Below are 24078 nucleotides of genomic sequence, written 5' to 3'. Positions count from 1 at the left end.
CAAGCTCTGCCACTCTCTGCCTATGTAACCCTGAGCAAGTCACATAAGCTCACTGAGCCAGGATTCCTTATTTGTGAAATATGGATAATTCCTGATGTGGTAAGTCCTCTGGGAGGTTAAAGCTAGTATGTAGAGTACCTAGGAGAACACCTAGAACATAGCAGGTGCTCAGTGAATGAAAATTGTTGTTTTTGATGATGAAATTCAGACTAGGACCACTGATCCCAAACTGTCAAGAGTCCTACGGTAGAGTTTAAGCAGCCTCCCAAGGAGCCTCTGTTTCTGGTGTACCCAGAGCTCTCATGAGTTGCTACCACACTGACAATGGAAAAATGAACCTATTCTCTCCACAAAACTCTTCCACAAGTTGGAGGGGCCCTGGAGGCCCACCAACATCTCCCCACATAGTGCTCCACCAGCTTCTGGTTAGGTGTAGGGCACCCAAAGTCGTCCCTGCACTCACCTTCTAGTGTCAAACTTTGCACCCCATAGGAGGTGACATGACAGACTCCTACCCAGACTACAATGGCCTGTGGTTCTGTTCACATCTTCTCTAGGGCTTCAATTACTGCATACTCATAGGTTGCCCACAAGCAATGTCCAGGCAACTCAAATAAGCGGCCAGGGAGAATTTTTTTCAAGCCTTATTTTGCCAGTACAGAAACCGTAGGCTTGTGAGTCTCTCTCTCCAAACCTCAGGGTCAGCTAAAGAAAGAGGTACCAATAGAAATCCTCAAGTTGGAGGTTTGAGCCCACTGAGCCATGCAGCCACCTCATTTCCCTCTGTCCCCATTTAATCTCCTCCACACAATCCTGCAACATCCCTCAAAATGTCAGGGTCTCTCTTCAGATCTCGTTTCAGGCAATTTTACAGTACTGAGCGCCACAGATTAATGAGGAAGATAAATCAAAGAGCACAGTGGACGAGCGAAAATAACAGGACTGCAGCTGAAACACACAAGGCTAGCCTCTTCTTTCTGCATTACTGAGACGCAAAACAGCCACAGGGGTTTACAGCAGAGGCTGCTCCTAGAGGAGGCAATGGAAGACAGACCCTGAAGGTCAACTGGTGTGATCAACATGACAGGGGAAACTCTGAAGCCTCAGCTGGGGGTTCTGGCAATAAAACAGTTAAATGTCCTTCAGAGAAAAATATTATACTCACAGCTTCAAGCATCCCTAAGATCTTCTTAAGTAAAGGATAGAATTCCCTCAGCAATAGCAGAGCTTGGCCTGAGCCTGAGCCACACTCTTGGGCTTTCTTTTTGCTGAGCCTCCCAGATGGGGAAAATGATACCTGGAAGGCGGACTGGCTTAAAGGTCAGAAATCCAGATGCAGTGGCTTTGCAAGCACCTCAGTTGGTGCTAGGCCCTAGGGGATGCTCACTTATTACTCATATAGGTCTAAACAAGGTTTGCTTTTTGGAAGGATAACAACTGACTCTTTAAACAAAGAGGGAGGCAAGCACAATGATTAAAAGCAGAAGTTTTGTGGCCAGAGAGACCTTAATTCAAATCCTAACTTTGCCCCTTATAGCACTGTGGCTTTGGGGAAGAAATGTCACCTTTCTGAGCCTTATTTTCCTTATTTGTAAGCCTATCCTTTCCTTGTGTAACTTACAACTCATTCCAAGAGCTGTTTTGTCCTCTGACACTCAGGAGTACCATGCAAAGCCTGTCAACTGCATGAAAAATCACAGCATAGGAGAGTCCCTCCAAATGACCTGACATTGCCCATTCTCCAGGCTGACCACTGCCCTGCTCAGGACAGGCAGCACCCACTATTAGTGCTGATTTAGGGAACAACGTTCATCCAAGTCTGATTAAATCCTGAGTCAAAGCACCCAAAAAAAATAAAAACAATTCAGTTACTTGGAATTTTGTTATCTCAATGAAAACAAGACTACAATTTCATGAGTGTCATCTCTGAATATAATTTTGGTGAAGCTCCAATTAGAACAAAATCCATTGCAATGTATAATAGCAGATTTTCTCCAAAGCATCAGAAAAGTCCAAGACCCCACCACTCTCCACCGCAGCTGTCCTCTTTGCACTTCTCCTTGGGAAGATTTCATTCTGGTTCTTCAGGTCCAGACATTCTTCTTTACCTGCCATCAGCAACAACAGCTATCCACCTCTCTCAAACACCTCGAAGTGCATTACAGCTTACCCTAGGCTTAGCTTTGAAGTACAGCGAGAATGGACACCTTAAGGCCTTCTCCTCTGCTGCCTGCACAAGAGGGGGCCCCACGGCATGCCAGCTGCAAGAAGCCACTCAGCCTGCTGGAGTTGTACACATGAAGGGCCTTGGGCAAGAACCTGACTCCTAACTGAAATACCATCAAATGAGACACATGTCATCATCACCGTCAGAGACAAACAGTTCACAGAGTCCCTGCCCTGCATGGATAAGCTATACCCATGAGTCATTCTGTTAACTCTGCCCTTCAAGTAATAAACAAGAACACTGACTTACAGGAGCTCAAGGACCTTAAAGATCAGCTGGGCTGACCACACAAATGAACAAATAGAGGTGCAGAGAGGGGAAGCATCTTGCCCAAGGTAATTCACTAGTGGCAGAGCCAGGTATAGAACAAGGTCTTTTGGTTCCTACTGCACTCCTTTCCTTATCGCCTGGATTGCATTCATAATCATCACCAAATAAATAATGTGTGCCTTCATCAGAGTTACTTAGAGTTCATGCTTTCCAAACCCAAGAGATGACCTTACCCCCGAAGGCTAGAGGACAGAGAGTAGTCACTGGGCTACTAACAATCTCAATTTCCTCATTGGCAAAATGACAGGGCTACAATTGATGATTCTGAACAAACCCAACCTTGACATTGAAAGCTTCTATCTGGTGTGAACTGGCTGAGGAGAGACAGCCCTGGGAAAATACATTTATATACAAAGTAATCTTGGATAGAAACATCGGTTCACTACAACTCTGGGTGTCACAGCTGTCCAGCATGACAAATGCAAAAGGTTATAGTGAAACCAGGGACCCTTTTCCATAGGCCACCGTAAGTGCCTTATATTCTGGGCTTATTTCAATCAGATCTTACATTTCAGTAACAGAAATCATGGCTAGGCTGACCTTTCTTTTTTTACTCTTTTTTTTTTTTTTTTTCTTTGAGACAGAGTTTTTTGCTCTTGTCGCCCAGGCTGGAGGGCAGTGGCGTGATCTGGGCTCACTGCAACCTCCACCTCCCGGTTCAAGCGATTCTCCTGTCTCAGCCTGCTGCGCAGCTGGGATTACAGGCGCCCGCCACCACGCCCAGCTAATTTTTGTATTTTTAGTAGAGACGGGGTTTTGCCATGTTGGCTAGGCTAGCCTCGAACTCCTGACCTTAGGTGATCCGTCTGCCTCAGCCTCCCAAAGTGCTGGGATTACAGGCATGAGCCACCACGCCTGGCCCTAGGCTGACCTTTCAACATGACAAAAGATACTTAGGGAAATAAAACGAAAATCCCAAATGGTTGATGAGATAAGCAGGACTATTGGACACTTGGGTAATGTTTCTAAAGGATCTTTCACATCATCACTGGCAGGAAAAGGAAATTTCCTGCATTTTATTAGGATAACAGCAAGTTCCCAGTATAGGACCATATGCAGTCCCCGATGCTTCTGGTCCTCTCTGCACCCAAGGCACATGGTTAAAGTCTCTATAGCACTTGGCACATCACGTTACAATGGCTTACTTAGGTCTTTCTCTCTCTACTTGATCGTAAGCTTCTTGAGTACAGGGACTACATCCCACTCATCCTTGGATCCCAAGAGCCCGTTGCATAGTAGGTGCTCAGTAAATTCTAAACAATCACCAGCATTTTCTATGAGCCATTACATATGAAAACATGGTCCATATACTTTGTTGAAATACAACTGACTCATAGCATTGAATAAAATTCCTTAACCAACTCAACTATTATGTTCCTTCATCTACCAAGAAGACAATTTTACCTGCTCACTCTTCTCCACCCAGAGGAGCTACCAGAGGCCATGTGATCAGACTGGGTGGCATAATGCCTGGCATCTGATATTACTGCATGCAGTAAATACGTGATGAACTGCATGATAAGGCGTTGGTTAAATAACGGGGGGAGGGGGGAAACATCAAGCACAGGCACTCACTTGCATGTGATAAAAGCATGATAGTCATTAGTGCAGTTCACTACATATTTTCTGTTCTCCTTGCAGGCATATGGTATAACTGTACTTCCCTTCACCTTTGAATTTAAGTGTAGCCATGTGACTTCCTTTGGCCAATAATGAGGAAAAGTTACGTGGGTCATTTCCAGACAGAAGCTTTAAGAAACTGTGTGTGGTTCACCATGCTCTCTTTCTTCTTGCAGTGAAGACTGTCAATGCTCTAAATGGTAGTTCCTCTAACTCTGGATCCCAGAGTGAGAATGATGTACAAATAGCCTTCCACTGACCTGTTATGGCCAAATAGAGTTTTTTGAGAATTGTTTGTTATGCAGCATAACCTATGCTATCCTGACTCATACAAAAACATTCACAGGTACCCAGATTAAAACACATGAAGTTATTTTCTATTGCAGGGCACAGATATAGTCAAATTCTGACTTGGGATTGGGGCCTATGCTTTGGGTGACCAGGGGAGTTGGCATAGAGAAAGGTGACCCATCTTGGCCTTTCTCTTTGGCCTCTTATTCTTGCTTTCATATTGCTAGACATCTTTTCCTCCACACTTTGAACAATGATTAAGTTTAAACAATCACCTTTAAACAACTGTTGAACAGTTACCATTTTTAGAAAATGTACTTCAGGTGGGGCGCAGTGGCTCATGTCTGTAATCTCAGCACTTTGGGAGGCTGAGTAGGTGGATCACCGGAGATCAGGAGTTCAAGACCAGCCTGGCCAACATGGCAAAACCCTGTCTCTACCAAAAAGCAACAACAAAAAATTAGCTGGGCATGGTGGTGTGCACCTGTAATCCCAGCTACTCAGGAGGCTGAGGCAGAAGAATCGCTTGAACCTGGAAGGCAGAGGTTACATTGAGCTGAGATCGTGTCACTGCACTCCAGCCTGGGGAACAGAGCGAGACTCCATCTCAAAAAAAAAAAAAAAAAAAAAAGTACTTCAGGAGCATGATTATACTCTCTCTGACCCTCAGGTCTGCTTTTACTATAGTGTAAAAAAGTTATGGAACAAAGTTATGAAGTTGGGCAACATTAGGGAATGAGAGATTCTCATGAGGCCACCATACAGCTCTTTCCTTTTTAAAGTGAAAACACTGCATGCACAAGAATGATACTCTGCAGACTATTCCTTCTCCTCTCTTTATAACCCCCTGGTAGAATTCCTCTGTGGTTTAAGTTACAGATGGTTTACTTCCTGTCAGCACCATCCCTTGTTCAGCACTTGTGGCTCCAGCCACTGATCCTACAGGTAGTGGCACTAGCATAAAAGAGCCTCTTGGGCAAGGCCAATGTAGTTATTATTACCCTGCTACTGAGGAAACAGGCATTTGCCTCTAAGGCTCCTTTTATGAGCTTTAAAATGAAAATGACTTTCACTGTCTCTTACTTTGTTTCTAGTTGTTATACACAACTAGGAGAAGAGGAAAGGGGATGGAAAGAAACCAGTGAAGATCGTTAATGCTGGCCACTGTGCTGGAAGCATCTTCTCATCCCAAGACAATGAGTATAACTCTTGAATGCAGGACTGAAAAATGCTCAGGGGCACTAATAGTATAACAGAAAGTTATAAGGCAGACAAAAGGAGAAGGCAAGGAAAATGAAAGAGGAAGAGAGGGGAAGGGCTGGGAATGAGAGGTAAAGAATAACAGAGAGTCAGAGAGAGGGTCAATTGATTGACCCTAGCAAGAAAAGATGAAGACAAAATAATACGAGAGAAGTCATGAAGGAAGGAGGGAAAAGCAAGGACAAGTTCATTCTCACTTGGGCCAGTAGGAAGCTCAATGCTGAATTACTAAAAAATGCAACCATGTGGGATGAAACACGGGTTGTGTTTCATCAATCCGTGTTCTCTATTTTTACCTTTTTTTGCACATCATATTTTGCACATCATTTCCCCACAGTCTTAATGCTATACTCGTTTATTTTATAATTGTTCTTTTTATTAAATGCAGTTATTATAAGCTGTTATAGAAATAAAAGGGGTTAATTATGAGCTAATTAATTAAATATAAAGAAAAGTGAGTTGCAACGAGGTAGAGCCTAGATTGTCCTAAGTAGCTTGCAGGACCTAAGAATTAGAGTATTTATCTTGGAGGCTTGGCACAGTGGCTCACACCTGTAATACCAGCACTTTGGGAGGCTGAGGCAGGCAGATCACTTGAGCTCAGGATTTTGAGACCAGCCTGGGCAACATGGTGAAACCCTGTCTCTACAAAAATGCAAAAATTAGCCGGGTGCAGTGGCATGCACCTGTAATCCCAGCTACTTGGGAGGCTGAGACAGGAAAATCACTTGAGCCGGGGTGGAGGTTGCAGTCAGCCAAGATCATGCCATTGCACTCCAGCCTGGGTGATGGGGCCAGTGAAACACTGTCTCAAAAAATAAAATAAAAATAAAATATTTGTCTTAGGTGCTTCGCAAAAACACTTTCACCACCCTCATTCACCTCATTTGATCCTCACAACAGTCCTGTGAGACAGGTATGAATACTGCCCTCATTTCAGAGACAAAAACCTAAACTCAGGGCAGTTAAGTGACATGGAGAGTGAGGACTGGAATTAGGGCATGTTTACAGCAAAACTCACATCTTTTCTTTATAGCTTCCTTGGCAATATAACTGTGATGGTTTCTATCAGTGCTGTCCAAAAGAGTTTTCTACAGTGTGGGAATTGTTCTTTGTCTAGGAGAGCACTGGCCACATGGGACTTTTGAGTACTGGAAATGAGGCTAGTGTGATTAAGAAACCAAACTTTTAGTTAATTTTCATTAATTTTAAATAGTGGTGGCCATTATAGTAGGCAGCACAGATCTAGATTCTCTCACCTCTACCACATGTATGTAGGGGAGATAAGGCTCAAATACTGGCAGCTAGAGATTGTATGAAGTGGGATTAGTGGTCAAAGAGGAGAGATCACCTTTGCTTTACTTGATGACGGTGGGAAGATTAGGAACAGACCGTACATAACAAGTAGAGAGGGGAGGTAATGGGGGGAGGGGGAAGGTATTTTAGGGTGCCCTTCTTAAACCATGGTCCCAGCCTCTGGAGGCCCTACAGATCCCCAAGCTCTGGGTAGAGAACCTCTAGCAATTGCTTAAGGGTCCATGTAGTGGTTAGCCAAGACCAGGAGAGAAAAGTTTTTGAATGACTGCAGAATCTCTGCAGATCTGGTGGCCTTGGAATTCCTAGCTCACTAAAGGGAAGCATCACCCCTGACCTGTGATCTTGACATTGCAGGCTCCTCCCTCAACTAACAATACAAAAATTGCAATAAGTCAGAATTCACAAATGGGCATCCCTTTTCTAAACTTGCAAGAAGGCCAAGGAGGCAACTGGCCCAGCTCTGTGTAAGAAAGGACCTTTTCCTTGAAGTCTGAGAACAGTGATGAGAAAAGGGGTGAGGGCAAGCCCACTCGCACGGTCCATGTGCAACAGGTCTGGGAGGGAGACAAGTCAAGAACTATTCCCTTTTTCCTCTTAATGTGAATCATTTTGCATTGTCTCTGAAGGACAGAGTTCACTTTTCCAGCTGTTTGGGCATTGCTTGTATTTTCAGTGGCTAAGGGCTCATTTGAAGAGACGATACCATGGTAAGAACTCAAAATTAGGGAATCTCTACAAAGAGAGCTCCCTAAAAGAAGCAGTATGTTAGGCGACCGGAGGATTTGGGGGGTGATCAGACAGGCCTGGGTTTGAATCCCAGCTTGGACACTCATTAGGTGTGTAACCCTGGGCACGTTTACTCACCCTCTCTGAGCACCACTGCTTCAAATCTATGAAACCAGGATAACATCTCCTCTCAAAGGGTCAGGGGTAAATGAGATAATATTTGCAAGGTGCTTGACACAGTTCCTGGCATAGAGCAACCCATCAGGAAATGGCAACTATTACTGGTTTTATTACCTTCTGATATAAGTTTATATTCGTTTTCTATTGCTGACATAAGTTTATGTCAGTTTTCTATTGCCATAACAAGTTAATATAAACTTAGTAGCTAAAAACAAAAAAAATTGATTAGCTCACAGTTCTGTGAGTCAGAAGCTGACATGGGTCTCGTGGGCTAAAATGATGGGTATGTGCAGGGCTACATTCATTTCTGGAGGCTCTAGGAGCATCTGTTCCTATGGCTTTTCCCCTACATAGAGGCCACCTGCATTCTTGGGCTGTAGCCTTCTTCCTCCATCTTCAAAGCTGGCAATGGCATGACGAGTCCTTCTTACATGACATCATTCTGACCTCCTCCTCTTGGCCTCCCTCTTTCACTTTTGAGGACCTTGTGATTATGTTGGACCCACCTGAATAAGCCAGAGTAATCTCCCTGTCAGCTGACTGGCAACCTTAATTCCCCTCGCCATGAAACTTAACATATCCACAGGTTCTGGAGATTAGAATGTGGCCATCTTTGGGGATGATTATTACACCTACCACAGGCTTAGAATGAAGCGTGAGGGGAGCAGTCTCTTCCCGTTTTTGCTGCTTCTCTTATGTGGCTCTCAGTAGGGACTATGCTTCAGAAATAACTGGCTTGTTGGGGACCTACCACCTGGTAAGGGCGCCAATTGCATCTGCAGGCTGGGGACCTCTGGCCTGGATTAAACTCTTTCCTCCAGATCAGACCTGAATCCATGAATGCACTGCTTGGTGCCAGGAGGCCTGCTTTGTTCCATATGAATCACAAAGCCAAGCAGTGTCCTGGGCTCTTGGAGTTCTTATGACACTCCCAGCAAGGAAGGAGGGCTCAGCTTGGCAGGCTGCTCAAATACCAGGTTGCATAGTTACATTCTCACACCATGAGACTCTCCTTGAGAGAGGCCTCCCAATTCAAGCTGAAACTGGGACGCCTCTGAGTGCCAAGGCCCTGGATGCAGCCTGGAAAGTCTGTACAGTGACTCTGAATCCTTCACTGAAACAGCAATCTCAGTACTTAAAACATTCAGAATTTGAAGGGTAATGAAAAACTTATAACAAGAAGAAAAGAAAAATCTCTCCTTTCTGCTTGGTTTCCTGGCTCAAAGGTGGAGGGCGATTTTCATTTTGTTCAAGTTTCAGGCTGACTCTTTACCACACAGCATTTGTTTTTTTTGTCTTTAGAAGGTTTGAAGTAATATGGCCTTATCGCCTAAATTAATAAAAAGCACTGAAGTTCAGTAAGTATTCTAACGGCTTAGAAGAAAGTTACCAAGTAGTTCCAAAGTCCTCCTCCTGATCTAATGTCACACCAAGCCTGATTTCTGTCCTCGTTGTGCTCTCAATGGCGTTTATGTGATCTTGGGATGACATTCGAGAGGAGCATCTAACTGGCTCAGCCCGTTGTGTGCTAAAACACAGGTTGGTAAAGAAAAGGATGAGGAGGATGGTGTGGCTTTGCAGTCACCAAGAAAGAGATTTAGAACTTTCCCAGAGCTGATCTTTACACTATCAAAGCTCTCAACTTGCTGGAGTTCGGGAACTTTTGATGGGTTCTGAGAGGACAGCAGTGCATGTAGGAACTGGCAGGAGTTCAATGAGCCATTTGACTGTCTGTTAGCCTAGTCTTGGCCCTCCTTGCCATATTTCTTCTTCTTCCCAGTCTGCCAGTTTGGAGACCTCCATGCCAAAGCTCCTTTTATCTGTCTGTTATCTGGAGCCTATGATGTGTAATAAGCCACTCCATTTGTCCCTTTTGATCCTCTCTTCTCAGACACCTGGCTCTAGTCTGCTGGAAGTAGACACTGATCACTATCAGGAAAAACCTGGAGCCCAGGAGTGGCAACCCTAAAGAGTGACAAGAGATCAAGGGCACACTTTACTATCTTCATTTATTATTTCTTAGAAGCTGGCTGGTAACATACCAGACTCACCAACTGACACAGTCTCTATCTCCCAGGCTCTGAAGGCATCCATTCTTATCAGTTACTTTTAATAACCCTGAAGATACCCCAGCCACATTCTGCTGCAAACAGGCAAGTTCTGCCTGGTAGGCCAGCGTCCCTTAAGGTCTTTTCCTGGAAGAGCTGTTCTCCCCAGCTGCTTGGCTGTGGTTATTAATTTTCTTATTCACACAGTGATCTGCCTTTCTTTCGTTTGCTGAGGTCTAATCAGGTCTAATCACTCAGTACTTTTCCTCTTTCCTTTGTAGAACTCATGTGGTCTATTGCTTATGTGTGAATGGAAAAAGGACCAGGCTATCTTTTTATACAGAACTTCCTGGAAAAACCTTAGCTCTGGGACCTTCGATTTTCAGGTTTAAAGGAAAGAATTCGGGTCAATTATCTAAGTTGTTTAAAGAACATATTTCCAATTACAGGGACAAGAACAGTATTATCGAAATTGCAGCCACTTGCATACTACCTTTGTTTTCTGATATAACTACATACCACCTGTGATATTCTTCCTTGATATTTCACATTAAATTGTCTCAAGTCTACACTATCCTTACCTTAAGCAGCATTTGTAAAATCACAGGTTTGATGTGCTAGTTGTAAGTTTTTAAAAAAATATTAAAATTAAAATGTAATTATTAAAAAGGAGTATTTTCCTATCTGCCATCTAAAACTATCTCCTATACCACCATGATAGCCTCCCACTTTGGGAAACACTCATTTAGAATATAGATTTTGTAACTACATGAGACTAAATTTGCGATTTACATAAAGAATTTTACAGAAACAAATGTACTATTTCAACTTAGCCAAAGATGAAGTATTACTATGGTCAGCTCATAATAACTTTGGAAGTTATAAAAATTTAGCATATTCTAGAATAATGGAAAATATCTCCTTGCCTATAGGCCAGAACTTATGTAAAACAAGGGTAAATTTGTAGTCTTTTGCAAATCCTATGTCTTTAAAAAGCCATCTGAGTTCTTTCTTTAAAACTTTGTCAGTTATCCACTCAGTTTGTTTTTTGTTTTGAGACTGAGTCTCACTCTGTTGCCCAGGCTGGAATGCAATGGCTGCAATGGCACAATCTCGGCTCATTGCAACCTCTGCCTCCCGGGTTCAAGCAATTCTCATGCCTCCCTCTCCCGAGTAGCTGGGATTACAGTTGTGCATCACCACAAACGGCTAATTTTTGCATTCTTAGTAGAGACAGGGTTTCATCATGTTTGCCAGGCTGGTCTCAAACTCCTGACCTCAGGTGATCTGCCCGCCTTGGCCTCCCAAAGTGCTGAGATTACAGGCGTGAGCCACCATGCCCGGACTCATTCAGTTTTAAATAAATGATCATATCGGAGCATTCCAGTCTGGAGAGAACCAAAGGACATTGTTGTCCATTTGGTTTAACCATACAGGCTGAACTAAAACAACCTAACAAGTGCTACCTATCTTTTCAACCCCACCCTCATCCTCCATCTCCAGAAGCAGGAAACAAGCTCAACTGTGATCTATAGTAATCCCATTAATCTTACAATGAAGCATTAAATTAAACTGCCTAGCATAGATTCTTCTGCTACAAGGAAAACTGTATCTTGTAAGGACTGTATTTTATGTGGATAGATTTACTAAACAACGGATAGAAGAATACAAATAAGCAAAATAATTTGGCAAATTGTCAAATCTCCAGTGGGGGTGTTGTAGCAACTGATTTTTTTTTACTGTTATTATTTACTATAAAGATTTTAGTTACAGAGAGTTTAGTTTCTCCTTAGTAAGAGCAGTTCTCAGCCCGGGCGCAGTGGCTCACGCCTGTAATCCCAGCACTTTGGGAGGCCGAGGCAGGTGGATCACCTGAATTCGAGAGTTCGAGACCAGCCTGGCCAACATGGTGAAACCCCGTCTCTACTAAAAATTCAAAATTAGCTGGGCATGCTGGTACACGCCTATAATCTCACCTACTTGGGAGGCTGAGGCAGGAGAATTGCTTGAACCCGGGAGATGGAGGTTGCAGTAAGCCAGGATCATGCCACTGCACTCCAGCCTGGGTGACAGAGTGAGACTCTGTCTCAAAAACAAACAAACAAACAAACAACAACAAAAAAACAAAAAAAACTTTTTTTTCTCAAATGGTTCATGTTTCTATGGACTTTTCAAACCCATTCCTTTCTTTGTTAATTACAGGAAAAAATCTGACTTGAGCTAGAACCCTAGTGGAAGGCCTTTTAACATCCCTGATATAAATCACAAGCCTGGGCACTGGGGGGACTCTAAGGAGGACACATTCAAGTTAGTGGTAGAGACTGGGCCAGATCCCAAGTTCCTAACAACTCATTCAGTGTTTCCCAGCCTTCCCTGAGAGAACATGAAGATTCTTCTTCAGCAAATTCCATCTCTGGGTGTGATTTCAGTATCTGTCTCTTTGGTGTGCTGTCCTATTTCTCTAAAGCCACACAATTACAGAAGTCACTTAGCTCTTTGTAAAAAGCATGCCCTGGGAACAGCAGGAAGCTGTTGTTGTGCTACTATTTGGCTTTCTGACATAAAAGGTTTAGTACCCAAAAAGTCTATGGTCATTTTAAACCACTTGCATCTAAATTCCATGTTACATCTCATCAACCCAGATGTGGAAAGAAGTCAAGTGTTCCAGCAAATCCTTAAACAGCCAGATCATTAAGGGTATTTGAAATCTGCACTGAAATCCAGAATTATAGAACATTAGAACTGGAAGGGATCATAGAAATCATATAGTCCAAACTCCTCACTTCATCGGTTGCTCAGGGTCATAGAATCAGTTTGTCAGAGTAAGAACTAGAACCTGGAGGCCAAATAGTCCTCTTTTATTACCACAGTATTTTCTGAACCTCTTTTCTTCCCTGACAGCAGTGGCAGTGACGCCTGATCAACCTCTATGATGTCAACTACTTAGCATGTGGTGTCTAAACCCATGTCCTTAAGCATTGCCTCCTATTACCATGCAACAGGAGGCTTTTTGGTGAAGGCTGCTCAGCCAAGGCTAGGAGAGATCCCTTCTGCACACAGACCTTCTGTGCCACAAGGTGCAATACCTAGAAAGCTGGCTAATGAGAGAGGAAGTAAAGCACATCCCTAGGGCCTGCTGAACTGACAAAGACACAGTAGCAACAAGCAAAACAATAACCAAAACCACCCAAGCCTGAACTCCCTGTGTTACTGCTGTCAGAAGCACCACCCTACACAGAAGCAGGACTCAAGAACCCTCGGCAGCCCTTTCCTACCTACTGTACCTGCTCCTAACCCCAGGTACAGATTCCAGGCCTCCCCTCCCTCTCTGTGGGTTCAAGTCTCCATTCACTCTCCCAATATCATAACCCTCATTTCTCAGGGCCCCCCTGGGATCACCTCTGCATCTGACCAGCCCCAAGTGCAGCAAGCTTACCTGTCAGCGTCTCCGAGGCCCAGGGAGGTATTTCGTTGCAGGGTCTCCCGTACCACAGCCATCCCATCAGGGAGCCGGTTCAGGCGACGGGTATAGAGGCCAAGTCCACCATCAGTCATGTATCTTTAAAAGGAGAAGAAGATGATGCACATGAATGTCCAAAGCAAGTGGCTTCCAGGCTTGCATTCATATCCAGAAGCCTGTACAGCCGCCAAGTGCTCTAAGGGGGAAGAAACGGAGGATTCCCTGAGGCTCTGGCACTGATCACAGCCCAAGGATAACTCAGCTGCTGATCCAACCTAGAGGATCCCCAGCTCGCTAACAAAAAGGTGAAAAAAGAGAGCGAACTCAGCTTAATTAACCCAAACTCACAGGTACCTACGACGCAGACGGGAACTAGGGAATAAAATTAACTGTCACATGGATTCATGACATTCTTTTCAATGTCAGCGATTATACAAGCAGGTGTTTTACCTGAGTAACGGAAATGGAACTGACAAATCATTAGCAAATCATAGGCAATAATATTACAGAACAGTGAGTGGAAAAAGCAGGCAGGCTTTTGAGAGAGGGGGAAAGAAAGGAGAGAGGATAGATGAGTGGCCTTTGCCATCACAGGCGAGTCCCTTCCCTGGATGGTGAGTTTTTCACCCAGGCTATAGGACTATCACGGCCTGTGACATGTGGGAATATCACAACATGGGCATGAGAATTAGTGAGATAAGGAATATGAAAGTGCACTGAAATTTGTGTAAGGCTATATAAGTGGAAGACATTACGGTTGTCACGATCATGAGGTGAATTTCACCCTTGATACTGATGTTTTCAGGGGGTTGCCACAAAACTCTGAACAACACTAATGCTAGTTTATTCTTTTTTTGGTAATACTACAAAGCTGTCTTCTGATGAAATCAGTGCTGTTCTTGAGAGGGAGGATGTCTGGAACTTTCTGTACAGATGGCTGATTGTCTACCAACCAGACAAGTTCCTGAAAGCTTAGCCACTAGTAGGAGGTAGCTCAGTCCAAGGCAGCTGTACCTCATATCTACCTTGGCTTCCTCACAGCCCCCATAAAGGAGACTGGTTTTGTCATTTCCCTCATCTTCAGAGGAGAACAGGAAGGCAAAGCAAAACTTGGGCAGAGCCAGAAACCAAACTTGGATCCCTTCAATCCCTTATGGGCCCCATCAGATCACCCTGCAAGGTATCTGAAAATGCAAGCATTTTACATTTCAAATCAAGTAATATGTAGTAAGAGGACCAATGAGTCATTATTTTTCTGAAACAGGGTCAGCTGAGCTACGTCATGGAAAGCTTAATTGCACTTGCCATTTTAACTTTTGCATATATGGAGTCGACCCTGAGGGTTCCCAATCCTTGAATTTCTTCTACCTGTAGCTGGGGACCTTTTTAGGATATATTTTTCAAGAACAGAATTATGAGATGCAGACGAGGCTGCCCAGACCAGGAAGTTCAAGTAAGGGGCAGAGAAGAAAATTCTCACTGGAGTTATCTCATGTGAAAAGCACCTTCCAGAATGGGTAAGAGGAACCCAGGAAGCTTCTAAGCTACTGTGGCTAAATTCAACACCTCCAATGTTCCCTGCTCCTCCCTTTATGACATTAATGATCCCCAAGGTCACAATATCAACATAATGAGAAATCTGTTGGAGTAAATCAGACTAAGTGTTTGTGCTTGTGCTGAAAATGCAACAGAAGAGACTGAAGTTTTCACTCAACTTTATCATTTTAAAAACCACTCTGTGAATACATTAAAAACCATCAAATTGTATGCTTTAAAATGGTGAATTTTTAGCCGGGCACGTGGCATGCACCTGTTGTAGTCCCAGCTACTTGGGAGGCTGAGGCAGGAGAATCACTTGAACCCGGGAGGTGGAGGTTGCAGTGAGCCGAGATCGTGCCACTGCTCTCCAGCCTGGGCGACAGAGTGAGATTCCGTCTCAAAAAACAAAACAAAACAAAACAAAAACAAAAACAAAACAAAAAAGAAAACCCCAAAAATAAATAAATAAAATGGTGAATTTCATGATATATGAATTAAATCTCAATAAAAATATAAAAAATGATTACAGCTATAGTTAAATAATTATTTGTTTAATTGCCCTTCAATGCATGTCTCTCACACTAAATAGTAAGCTCTTTGCAGGCAGAGATTCTTATTTTGTTCAAATCTATATCCCATGAGCTTAGTACATACTAGGTGCTTATTAAATGCTGTTTTTGTTGAATGAATGAACACATGAATGAATGAAGCCCAAAGACACAGCCATAGGGCTGTGCAAATTTTTTTTGCAAGAACACTGATTACAGGTTTTCTTTCCTCTTAAGCTTTAACAAACTTACATTTAAGACATATGACAAGCAAATTAAACTGTCGATCTGCCAATCTACCCATCATCCATCCATCCAGCCACCCTCCAACAGATAGAGTGACTCAGGGTAGAGTAATGGGTTATGGGCATCCATCCTACAGGTAGCACAAGGAGGAAAAAACACCTACACCAAAATGCCATAACTTTGCCAGAGGCTGGACTTTCTAGACCCCACGTCCTTTCAAGGAGAACTCAGTGGAAGCTCTTCAAAATACCATCTATTACACCATTAAGCAAGGCAGTTAATTTTGATCTTAGCCAAGTCTGCCCAGCCAGTTAGATAAACAAAATTCTTTCAACTGGGGAGATCTTGTCAAAGGACAAACAAACTAATTTTAGCATTCATTTCCCTGCTGGATTTTTATTGCTGGTGAAACAACACACACGGTTGGGTAATTACACACACACAGGCATGTAGACAAGGCCCACATGTACAGAACCCTGGCTTCCTGCTAAGGCCAGACTGTGGGGCCTGGTGAGCATTCCAGACACAGAATGCTGAGAAACGTTGCAGCCCCAGCCCAGCTACACCCGGGTGCAACGTGGATGTATCAGAAAACGACAACCCCAGAAAAGCGGGAAAGCCTCTGAGAAATGGGACTGAAATGGAACTGAACATGTGAGCTGGGCTTGCTGTTGGGAATTCTGACTTTGTTTTGGCAGAGGGGAGGGGAAAGGCAAAGCTAAATCAGGATCTTCTGCCTTCTCAAACTGTAGGAAGAAATGAAAGTCAGGGAGGTGAATGCAACTAGTCTGACAATGATCTAGTTTCAAGACTGCAAGTCTATTTCACTTATCGTGCGCATGTAGAGGGAGGGCAGGCAGAGTGATAAGGAAAATGGGGAACTTACCTCTTCTTTTAGAGATATGTAAACACATGTTCAACTGTTTTTTAAACAACAATATTCTTTGAAATAAATTCTGTTGTATGTCTCTCCTTGGGAGACGGCACAGCACCAGAGACAGAGCTGTGGTTAGAGCCAGCCTCACACTCAAGAAATTAATTTAAAATGTTTCTAAATTATTATCCACCAATTACAATGATTTACAAACAGCTCTGTATATATTTTTAAATAACTCCTGTATTATACAGTCAATGAAAAATATACAAATTTGGGTTTGCTGGACCAAAATTTGTATAGGAATTGGCTATTGTATACATCAATATAGACTGCCTTAACAAAGTGAAGGCCTTAAGAAAGCATAATTTACAGATGAAGCAGCCACGGGTGTGTTTATCTGAAACACTGGCTTTTGCCCAGAAGTGTTAAAAAAGCTTGTGTTTCTGAAGGTTCAGGGAGCCAGAGGACTGATGGCCTCATCCTCCACTTGAGGAGCTTTTATAAGAGGCTCACACTGGGTGAAGAAGAAATGACTTGTCTGAGGTCACAAGCAAAGGAACCAGCTGATCCAAGAACTCAATCTCAGAACACCCATGCCACACTTTCCTTCTCCTTGGAGAGATAAATAATTAGTGCTGGAGCCTAATGAGGTGCTGGTAACATCCTAATGTCTTCTGAGTGGACTCTTGCCTCAGTTGCTAAGCTACTGAACCATCTCCCCATTACCCTCCCGAGTTCTGCCATGATAGGTGGGTGGAGGCGGCTCTCCGCATCCACCTTCTTAAGCTTCCCCAGAGACCCCTGGATGGAAAGAGTCAGAGCCTCTGCTAAAGGGACAAGGTGTCTGTGGGGTGTTTTTCTTGCTTCCCTGGGGTGGCCCATGAGCATCAGGGTTAAGGAACATGACTGTTGTTAGACCCAAGTTGTTCAAATGCCTTCTCTGCCCCTTGCTGGCTGAAGGACCTAGTATACATCATTGTTAGTAAGCACTAATGGTACTAAATGCTCACTGGGTACTGTGTTAAGTGCTTCACATAAATCATGGCATTCAACCTTCAAAATAATCTTATCAAGTGTTATTGTCATCTCTATTGTTCAGATGAGGAAAACAGAGCTGTGGTTAAGATCCCAGCGCAGGCAGGTGAGTTCAAATCCCAACTGTCGCATTTCAGCGCAATTTCTTCTAGTTTAAGTTCCCTCATAGGATTGTGGCAGGTTAAATGAGACAGTGCATATGTTTAGAAAGCCCAGTGCCTGGCATATAGGGAGCACTTCCTAATCATTAGCTGCTTACAGGAGTGGCAAGACCTAGTTCCTGCTCTGGTGAAGCTCAAAACCTACTAGGGACTAAGACATGCAAATAGCTCTACTGCTACATAAAAGTGGTATAACAGATGAATGCATGACTGGCTTTGAGAACACACGGGAGAAAGCGTCGCAGAGGAGTGCTGTTTAAGTTGGCCCTAAAGGGTGCGGAGGAGTTTGCCAGCCAAAAGAGGATCCATCTAGACACATGGATAACCTATGCAAAAGCAGAGAGAAATGGCAGAGGGGAAGGTATGTTCAGAGAAGGGTAAGTAGTTCACTATTGTTAGAACACTGGGATCACAGCTAGGAACTGGGCTGCATGGGACCTGGGGGATGGTTTTGAACATCTTGGATGCCAGGCCTCTGCCTGTAAGATGGGGGATACATGAAGGTACTAATGAGTAACAGGCTCTGGCTTCTGTTTCAAAGAGAACGTCGACTTTTCGATTCTTCCAACATTCTGTATTCAATTTTTGGTGGGCATTTTCTCATCAGTACTTTCTTCTACAGATTTTTCAGAACACACCATTTCCTAGTCCTGTCTGAGTCATCCCAGACCTCTGGGAGCTGGCCAGACTTGAAGGGTAGTCCTCACCATCCCTCCAGTCAAGACAGACCTGTGAAGGCAACATGCCTTTTACAAAAGGAACTTTCTCTACAGAATAGGTTGGTAACTGACACTAGCTATGAAAAAGCTGTGGAATCTAACAGGACCTGCTAGAACAAATACTCCAGACTTCAAGTCTAACATTTAGTAAACAGATTTCTTCCCTTTCTTTAAATGTAATGATGCAACAATGTGGAACCAAGTGAAACTGGCTTTGTGAGTCACCTTCAGAAGCGGCGAAAGGTGGCTTCTCATTTCCAAAGTTCACAGTTCAACATGGCCTGCATAAGTAATACAAACTGACTGCCACTAATCTCACCAGAAATCACCTCTGTCAAGAACTGTGTGAGGAGAGAGGGGACAGAGAAGGAAAGAAATACGTACCGACTTGCTCTAGTCGAGTGCATTTCTAATAGAGCATGACATAAAAAAAAAAAAAAAAAAAAAACCTCTCAGATGCAAGAAATGAAAGAACAAACAGAAAACAAATCAATCCTACATAATTACTTTTCTTCGAAGACACGTCAGCCTGTCTCTATTTTTTGGACACACTTTTGGTTGAAACGTGGACACAGAAACATGGAATAATTACAAATGTGTGTGTAATATTCCTTGCCAATAACAATATAAATATCTGGACGTATATATCAACACATACTTTGTTGCATTAGATTGAAAAAACTAATGGGGGCTGACGAAAAGCCCTTGTTGTTGAGCAATGTCATCAACATCCAGATCCCCAAACATCATATGCTTTCACAGGCCCCTCTACTCAGTTATAATACAGTGTGACATTCATTCTCTGAGTTTATTAGGATGCAAATCGAGTTTCTGGACAGACCTGGAAAAGAATCCCTTTAGTTTAGGGCCTCTGAGAAGACAGATGAATCAACTTCACTCCGGGTCGTAGGAGGATGCACCGGCCAGCGAGTCTAACAAAGCTGCCTGCATCCTTTTGAAAAAAAAACTGACCTTGCTGGGTGTGGTGGCTCACGCCTGTAGTCCCAGCACTTTGGGAGGCTGAGGTGGGTGGATCACCAGAGGTCAGGAGCTTGAGACCTGCCTGGCTAACATAGTGAAACCCCGTTTCTACTAAAAAAAACCAAAAAAAACAAAAAAAAACAAAATGAGCTGGGCGTGGTGGCAGGCGCCTGTAATCCCAGCTACTCGGGAGACTGAAGCAGGAGAATTGCTTGAACCCGGGAGGCAGAGGTTGCAGTGAGCCGAGACTGTGCCATTGCACTCCAGCCTGGGCAACCGGAGTGAAACCCTGTCTCAAAAAAAAAAAAAAAAAAAAAAAGAAAAAAGTTGACCTCTCTGAAAAGAAAAGCAGTGGCCACATTGGCTCAAGGAAGAAGAGAATGCTCTGAAATGCAAAAATATGACTGGAAAAAAAAAGGGCTTAATTTCTCAGTGCGAATTATAAAACTGCAGCACTAAAATTTAGTGAATACTTAAAATTTTGCTAAGGAAACACATGGAAACCACTTTGTCCTCAATGAGTTTTTAGGCATAAATGTTCAGGCAAACGTGGCATATTTATCAAAACCTTTGTCCCCCACGACAAGTTCAGAGACATGTTGCAGTGACTCTAATATCCTACTCACAGCATATTCTTACATATTTTAGAATCAAATAAAGGTGAAATTCAAGCGAAGAACACAGTATTGCCTCTTCCTGATTATGGGTCACCCCAAACTGACACAAGATGAAACAAAACCAACAACAACCTTTGGAGAGAAAGCCCAAGGTGACAATGCCTTTCTCAGTTGGGGTTCCCTGTGGTAACAGGACTTTAACCATAAATAAGACAGACTGCACAATCCACACAGTTAAGAAACAAGAGGATGTGAGGTGGAAGAGGGGTAAGAAATGTAATCTTTCATTTTTATGACTTAGTGGGCAATTCTTCGGACAGACCCACACATCTTTGGCCTTCATGCCTTTGGGGGAATGCTTCCAACAACCGCTGACAGAGGCCAGTGGGAAATGTGACTTAGAGAATCCAACCAGTTTCCTACCTTTCTGCTTGATGCAAAATTGGGGCACCCTTTATGCGATTTCCTACTGTCCTCCAGGACTGTCAGCTCTTCAGGATGTCACCAAGTTGATAGCGACTTGTTCTTTTTAGGAGGATTTGGGAGTTCAATGTACATCGTGAGTAAAATCTTCCCTTATGTCACTCAAGCCTGGAACAGTCTCCTGTGGCCACAACACACACCACCTTGGTTCAGAGCATAGGATGACGTGACCATGGCATATAGACTGCACTGCTGCAAAGTTTCTTCAATGGCCACGAGCCATCCCCCAGGAGAACACACAGTTGAAGGGGCACCAGCCCCTGCTTCTCTGCTGCAAAGTGAGCCAGATAACCAGGAAAACCCAGATAAATCCTCTGGTCAAGGTACAGCAGGAAGTCAAGGCTGCTGCAGAAGTGAACTCACTCAGGAGTTCTGGAGCTGACTCTGGCTAGTCCCAGTCAACAGAGCACACCTCACTGGGGAGTACTGCAAAGATGTTGCTAAGCTAATCAAACAAGGGCTCAGATCTAGCAGGCCATGGGGACAGAGGCAGCAGCAGGAAAAGGTGGGCCTGAGTTAAAGAGGAGTCAAAAGGTCCCAGGGGCCCCCTGCCAGCCTCGCCAGGGAAAACTGGTGTCACAGACTTTTGCCATTTCTACTTCCTAAAGCCAGTGCTGAGGACTGCTTGAAAGAGAGAGAGACAGAAGAGATAGCGTGGGAGTCGCTGTCTGCAGCTCAACTCAACACACGCCTCTCCATCTACCTGCTGCTTGAAATACGGGCCATGGAGCAGTAGTTTCAACATCACCTGGAAGCTGTCTTAAAAAGCAATATCCGAGACCTTCTAAATCAGACTCAACATTTCCATAAACCCCCCAGGTGATTTGTGTGCACACTAAAGAAAAAGAAGCACTGGACCCGGGCAGTGGTCTCTGTAGAGGGGAGCACAGATGATCCAGGAGTGAAAACGCAAGTGCTTCTACGTATATTTATTTCTCATCAAGATCTTTCTGATTCCTATGTTTTTGCACGCTATAGAGTATATGCAATATTTCAATAGCATGGCACATATATATTTTAAAAACAACTACAACCAAATCCAGTTTACAGACCATTATCGAAATCAGAAATTCCTAAACTTTCTTATTAACCTCTTTGGAGAAACGAGTGAAAGCTAGGGACCTCATCTCACATATGTGCAAAATTCACATCCAGCATGAGTTGGCTCACAGACCTCGAGGCCCCACCTTAGCAGTGACTTTGCTAAAACAGGGCAGAAGTAGATCCTGGCTGAGCAGATGCTTCAACACACTCTACAATGATTTCTACATTGCAAGACTTGTCTGTTTGCTATAAACCAATTCCGCAGTGGCTCATGGCATTGCTACAATTCACGTTACCCTGAGTTTTAGCACACAGGCTCAATCTCACCACTGCTTGGGTCTTGCTTTCACCAAACTCCTAGCAGAGAGATTGATCACGTGGAGAATTTCTGTGTGGTGGTGAAACAGGCTACCAAGGTTTGTGTGTCTTTTGCAAAATGCAATGTGACTTTCCACAAGTTTAATAAAATTCCATCTAATACTAATTTCCAGAGCATTTTGGTTGAAAAAGATCTATACGTATATAAAGTCCAGGAGCATTTTAATTTGAAAGGCCTATAATAGCCCTAATAAAATACATACTCCGATGCACAAAGAGCCAAGGATTATAACAATAGTGTACTTATCACCCTTAAACCAATAGAGATATGTAAAATTTTAATTATAATCCATGGCTACGCTTGTTTGAAATGGACGCAGGCAGGGCACACTTCTGAAGAAAGGCTGCACACGTTCGAAAATTGACAGTTCCTGTGTCTGAAACTGGTCTTGCCTGAATTGTCTTTACTGTGGTTCAACTGTCAGTGTGGAATTGCAGCAAATATTTCTAGCATTAGCAGGAAGCTTTTTGTCCACCTTCTGAAAGATGAAACACATCCTAACACACAAGAGACAGTTCTCTAGACAAAGCCCCTTTAAGCTCTTTCTTAGAATGAAACAGATGGTGAAAGGAGATGGACTGATATCCAGGAATTCTCAAACCTCAGAATACAGGCAGATCCTCTGGAGAGCCTGACCAAAATGCTTATTCCAAGGCCTCAGCTTCATACACGCAAGATGTATTTAGTGAGGCCCAAATCTTGCATATTTTTAAAAAACAGACTTTACTTTTTAAGAGATTATTTCTCTAACACTGTACAGAAATTACAGAGTTCCTTTATATCCCCTCTTCCCCCCAACACTTTGCTCTATTATTATGTACACTTTTTTCTTAGAAACAGGGTCTTGCTTTGTCACCCAAGGTAGACTGTACACTGCTGTCCTAAACTCCTGGGCTCAAGGGATCCTCCCGTCTCAGCCTCCTGAGCAGCTGGGACTACAGGCGCATGCCACCATGCCCTAATTTTTAAATTTTTTGTAGAGATGGAGTCTTGCCACATTGCTCAGGATAGTCTTGAACTAGGCTCAAGCCATCTTCCCACATCAGCCTCCAAAGTGTTGGGATTACAGGCGTGAGCCACTGCTCCTGGGCTATTATTAATATTTTGTATTAGTGTGGTTCATTGTTGCAACTGATGAACCAATATTAATACATTATTATTAACTAAAGTCACATTAGGGTTCACTCTGTGTCTTACAGCTCTACTGATTTTGATACAGAATGTCACCTACCCACCATTACAGTATCACAGAATATAATTCCACCACCTTAAAAATGCCCCATGCTCCACCTATTCATCCTTTCCCCCAAGTCTGCATTTTTAACAGACATGCAAGTAATTCTCTTGCAGGTAGTCAGGCCAAAACTGTGAGAAATGTTGCCTTAAATCATGAGACCTGGGCGGAAGAACTGTGTGCTAGATTGGATTCAGTTTCCCTAAGAATTAGTTGACTATAATGTGGCTACACTGTAACAGTAATTTAAACTTCAGATCCTCTTAGTAACTACTCTTGGCCCCCTCTGTGTTAGGGGACAATATCCACATTAACCTAGGTTGAAGCTGATCCCCAATGTTTCCTCCATCTCAAATCAAGGCTTGATAAAAGTTGTTACTACTTTAAGTTTCTTCTAAAATATCAAGTGACTCATGGTCTCATAGTTAAATGCCTACCGGCCTCAGGACAGTCCGACTGTTGGAAACTCAGATGGCTGGCAAGTGGCAAGAGGGAGCAGTATTAGGCATGCTGAATTCAAAGCATTATGGACAACACACAGGTAGCTCAGTGTGGCATCATAATCAGATGCTCTTCCTCTGGAAAAGCCTTCTACGTTGTCAACAGAATATGACAGAAGTGGATCCTGGCTGAGTAGATCCTTCAACGTATTCTGCAATGGTTTCTACATTGCAAGACTTGTCTGTTTGCTATAAACCAATTCCGCAGTGGCTCATGGCAATGCTACAATTCACATGTTACCCTGAATTTTAGCAC

General features: G+C 43.4%; 1 protein-coding gene and 1 long non-coding RNA gene across 47 annotated transcripts in view, besides 2 other annotated features; one reads left to right on the top strand and one right to left on the bottom strand.

The window, feature by feature from the left end:
• Window positions 1-24078, bottom strand: part of NAV2 (neuron navigator 2) — a 776366-nt gene that overhangs the window by 123919 nt on the left and 628369 nt on the right. For all 46 annotated transcript variants that reach the window (XM_017018520.3, XM_047427824.1, XM_017018522.2 and 43 more), the window contains one exon: window positions 13436-13558. In XM_017018520.3, the coding sequence (XP_016874009.1) occupies window positions 13436-13558 (123 nt within the window). The remainder of the gene's footprint in view (window positions 1-13435; window positions 13559-24078) is intronic.
• On the top strand, window positions 16309-18984 carry NAV2-AS3 (NAV2 antisense RNA 3). Its single transcript, NR_174949.1, has 2 exons — window positions 16309-16446; window positions 18488-18984. It is a non-coding gene; the product is annotated as an NAV2 antisense RNA 3 (long non-coding RNA).
• Window positions 18003-19202: an enhancer, noted in NCBI's record as "MED14-independent group 3 enhancer chr11:20000027-20001226 (GRCh37/hg19 assembly coordinates)". NCBI's record gives its function as "activates an origin of replication core promoter dependent on BRD2, BRD4, P300/CBP and CDK7 cofactors, and independent of MED14, by STARR-seq in HCT116 cells {active_cell/tissue: HCT116}" and the evidence as "EXISTENCE:reporter gene assay evidence [ECO:0000049][PMID:35650434]".
• Window positions 18406-18700: a silencer, noted in NCBI's record as "tiled region #14030; HepG2 Repressive non-DNase unmatched - State 1:Tss, and K562 Repressive non-DNase unmatched - State 5:Enh". NCBI's record gives its function as "represses a minimal TATA promoter and a strong SV40 promoter by Sharpr-MPRA in HepG2 and K562 cells {active_cell/tissue: HepG2 | K562}" and the evidence as "EXISTENCE:reporter gene assay evidence [ECO:0000049][PMID:27701403]".

This window comes from Homo sapiens, chromosome 11 (assembly GCF_000001405.40).
Source record: "Homo sapiens chromosome 11, GRCh38.p14 Primary Assembly".
Taxonomy (NCBI): Eukaryota; Metazoa; Chordata; class Mammalia; order Primates; family Hominidae; genus Homo; species Homo sapiens.
This window is presented reverse-complemented; position numbering and strand designations above follow the sequence as displayed.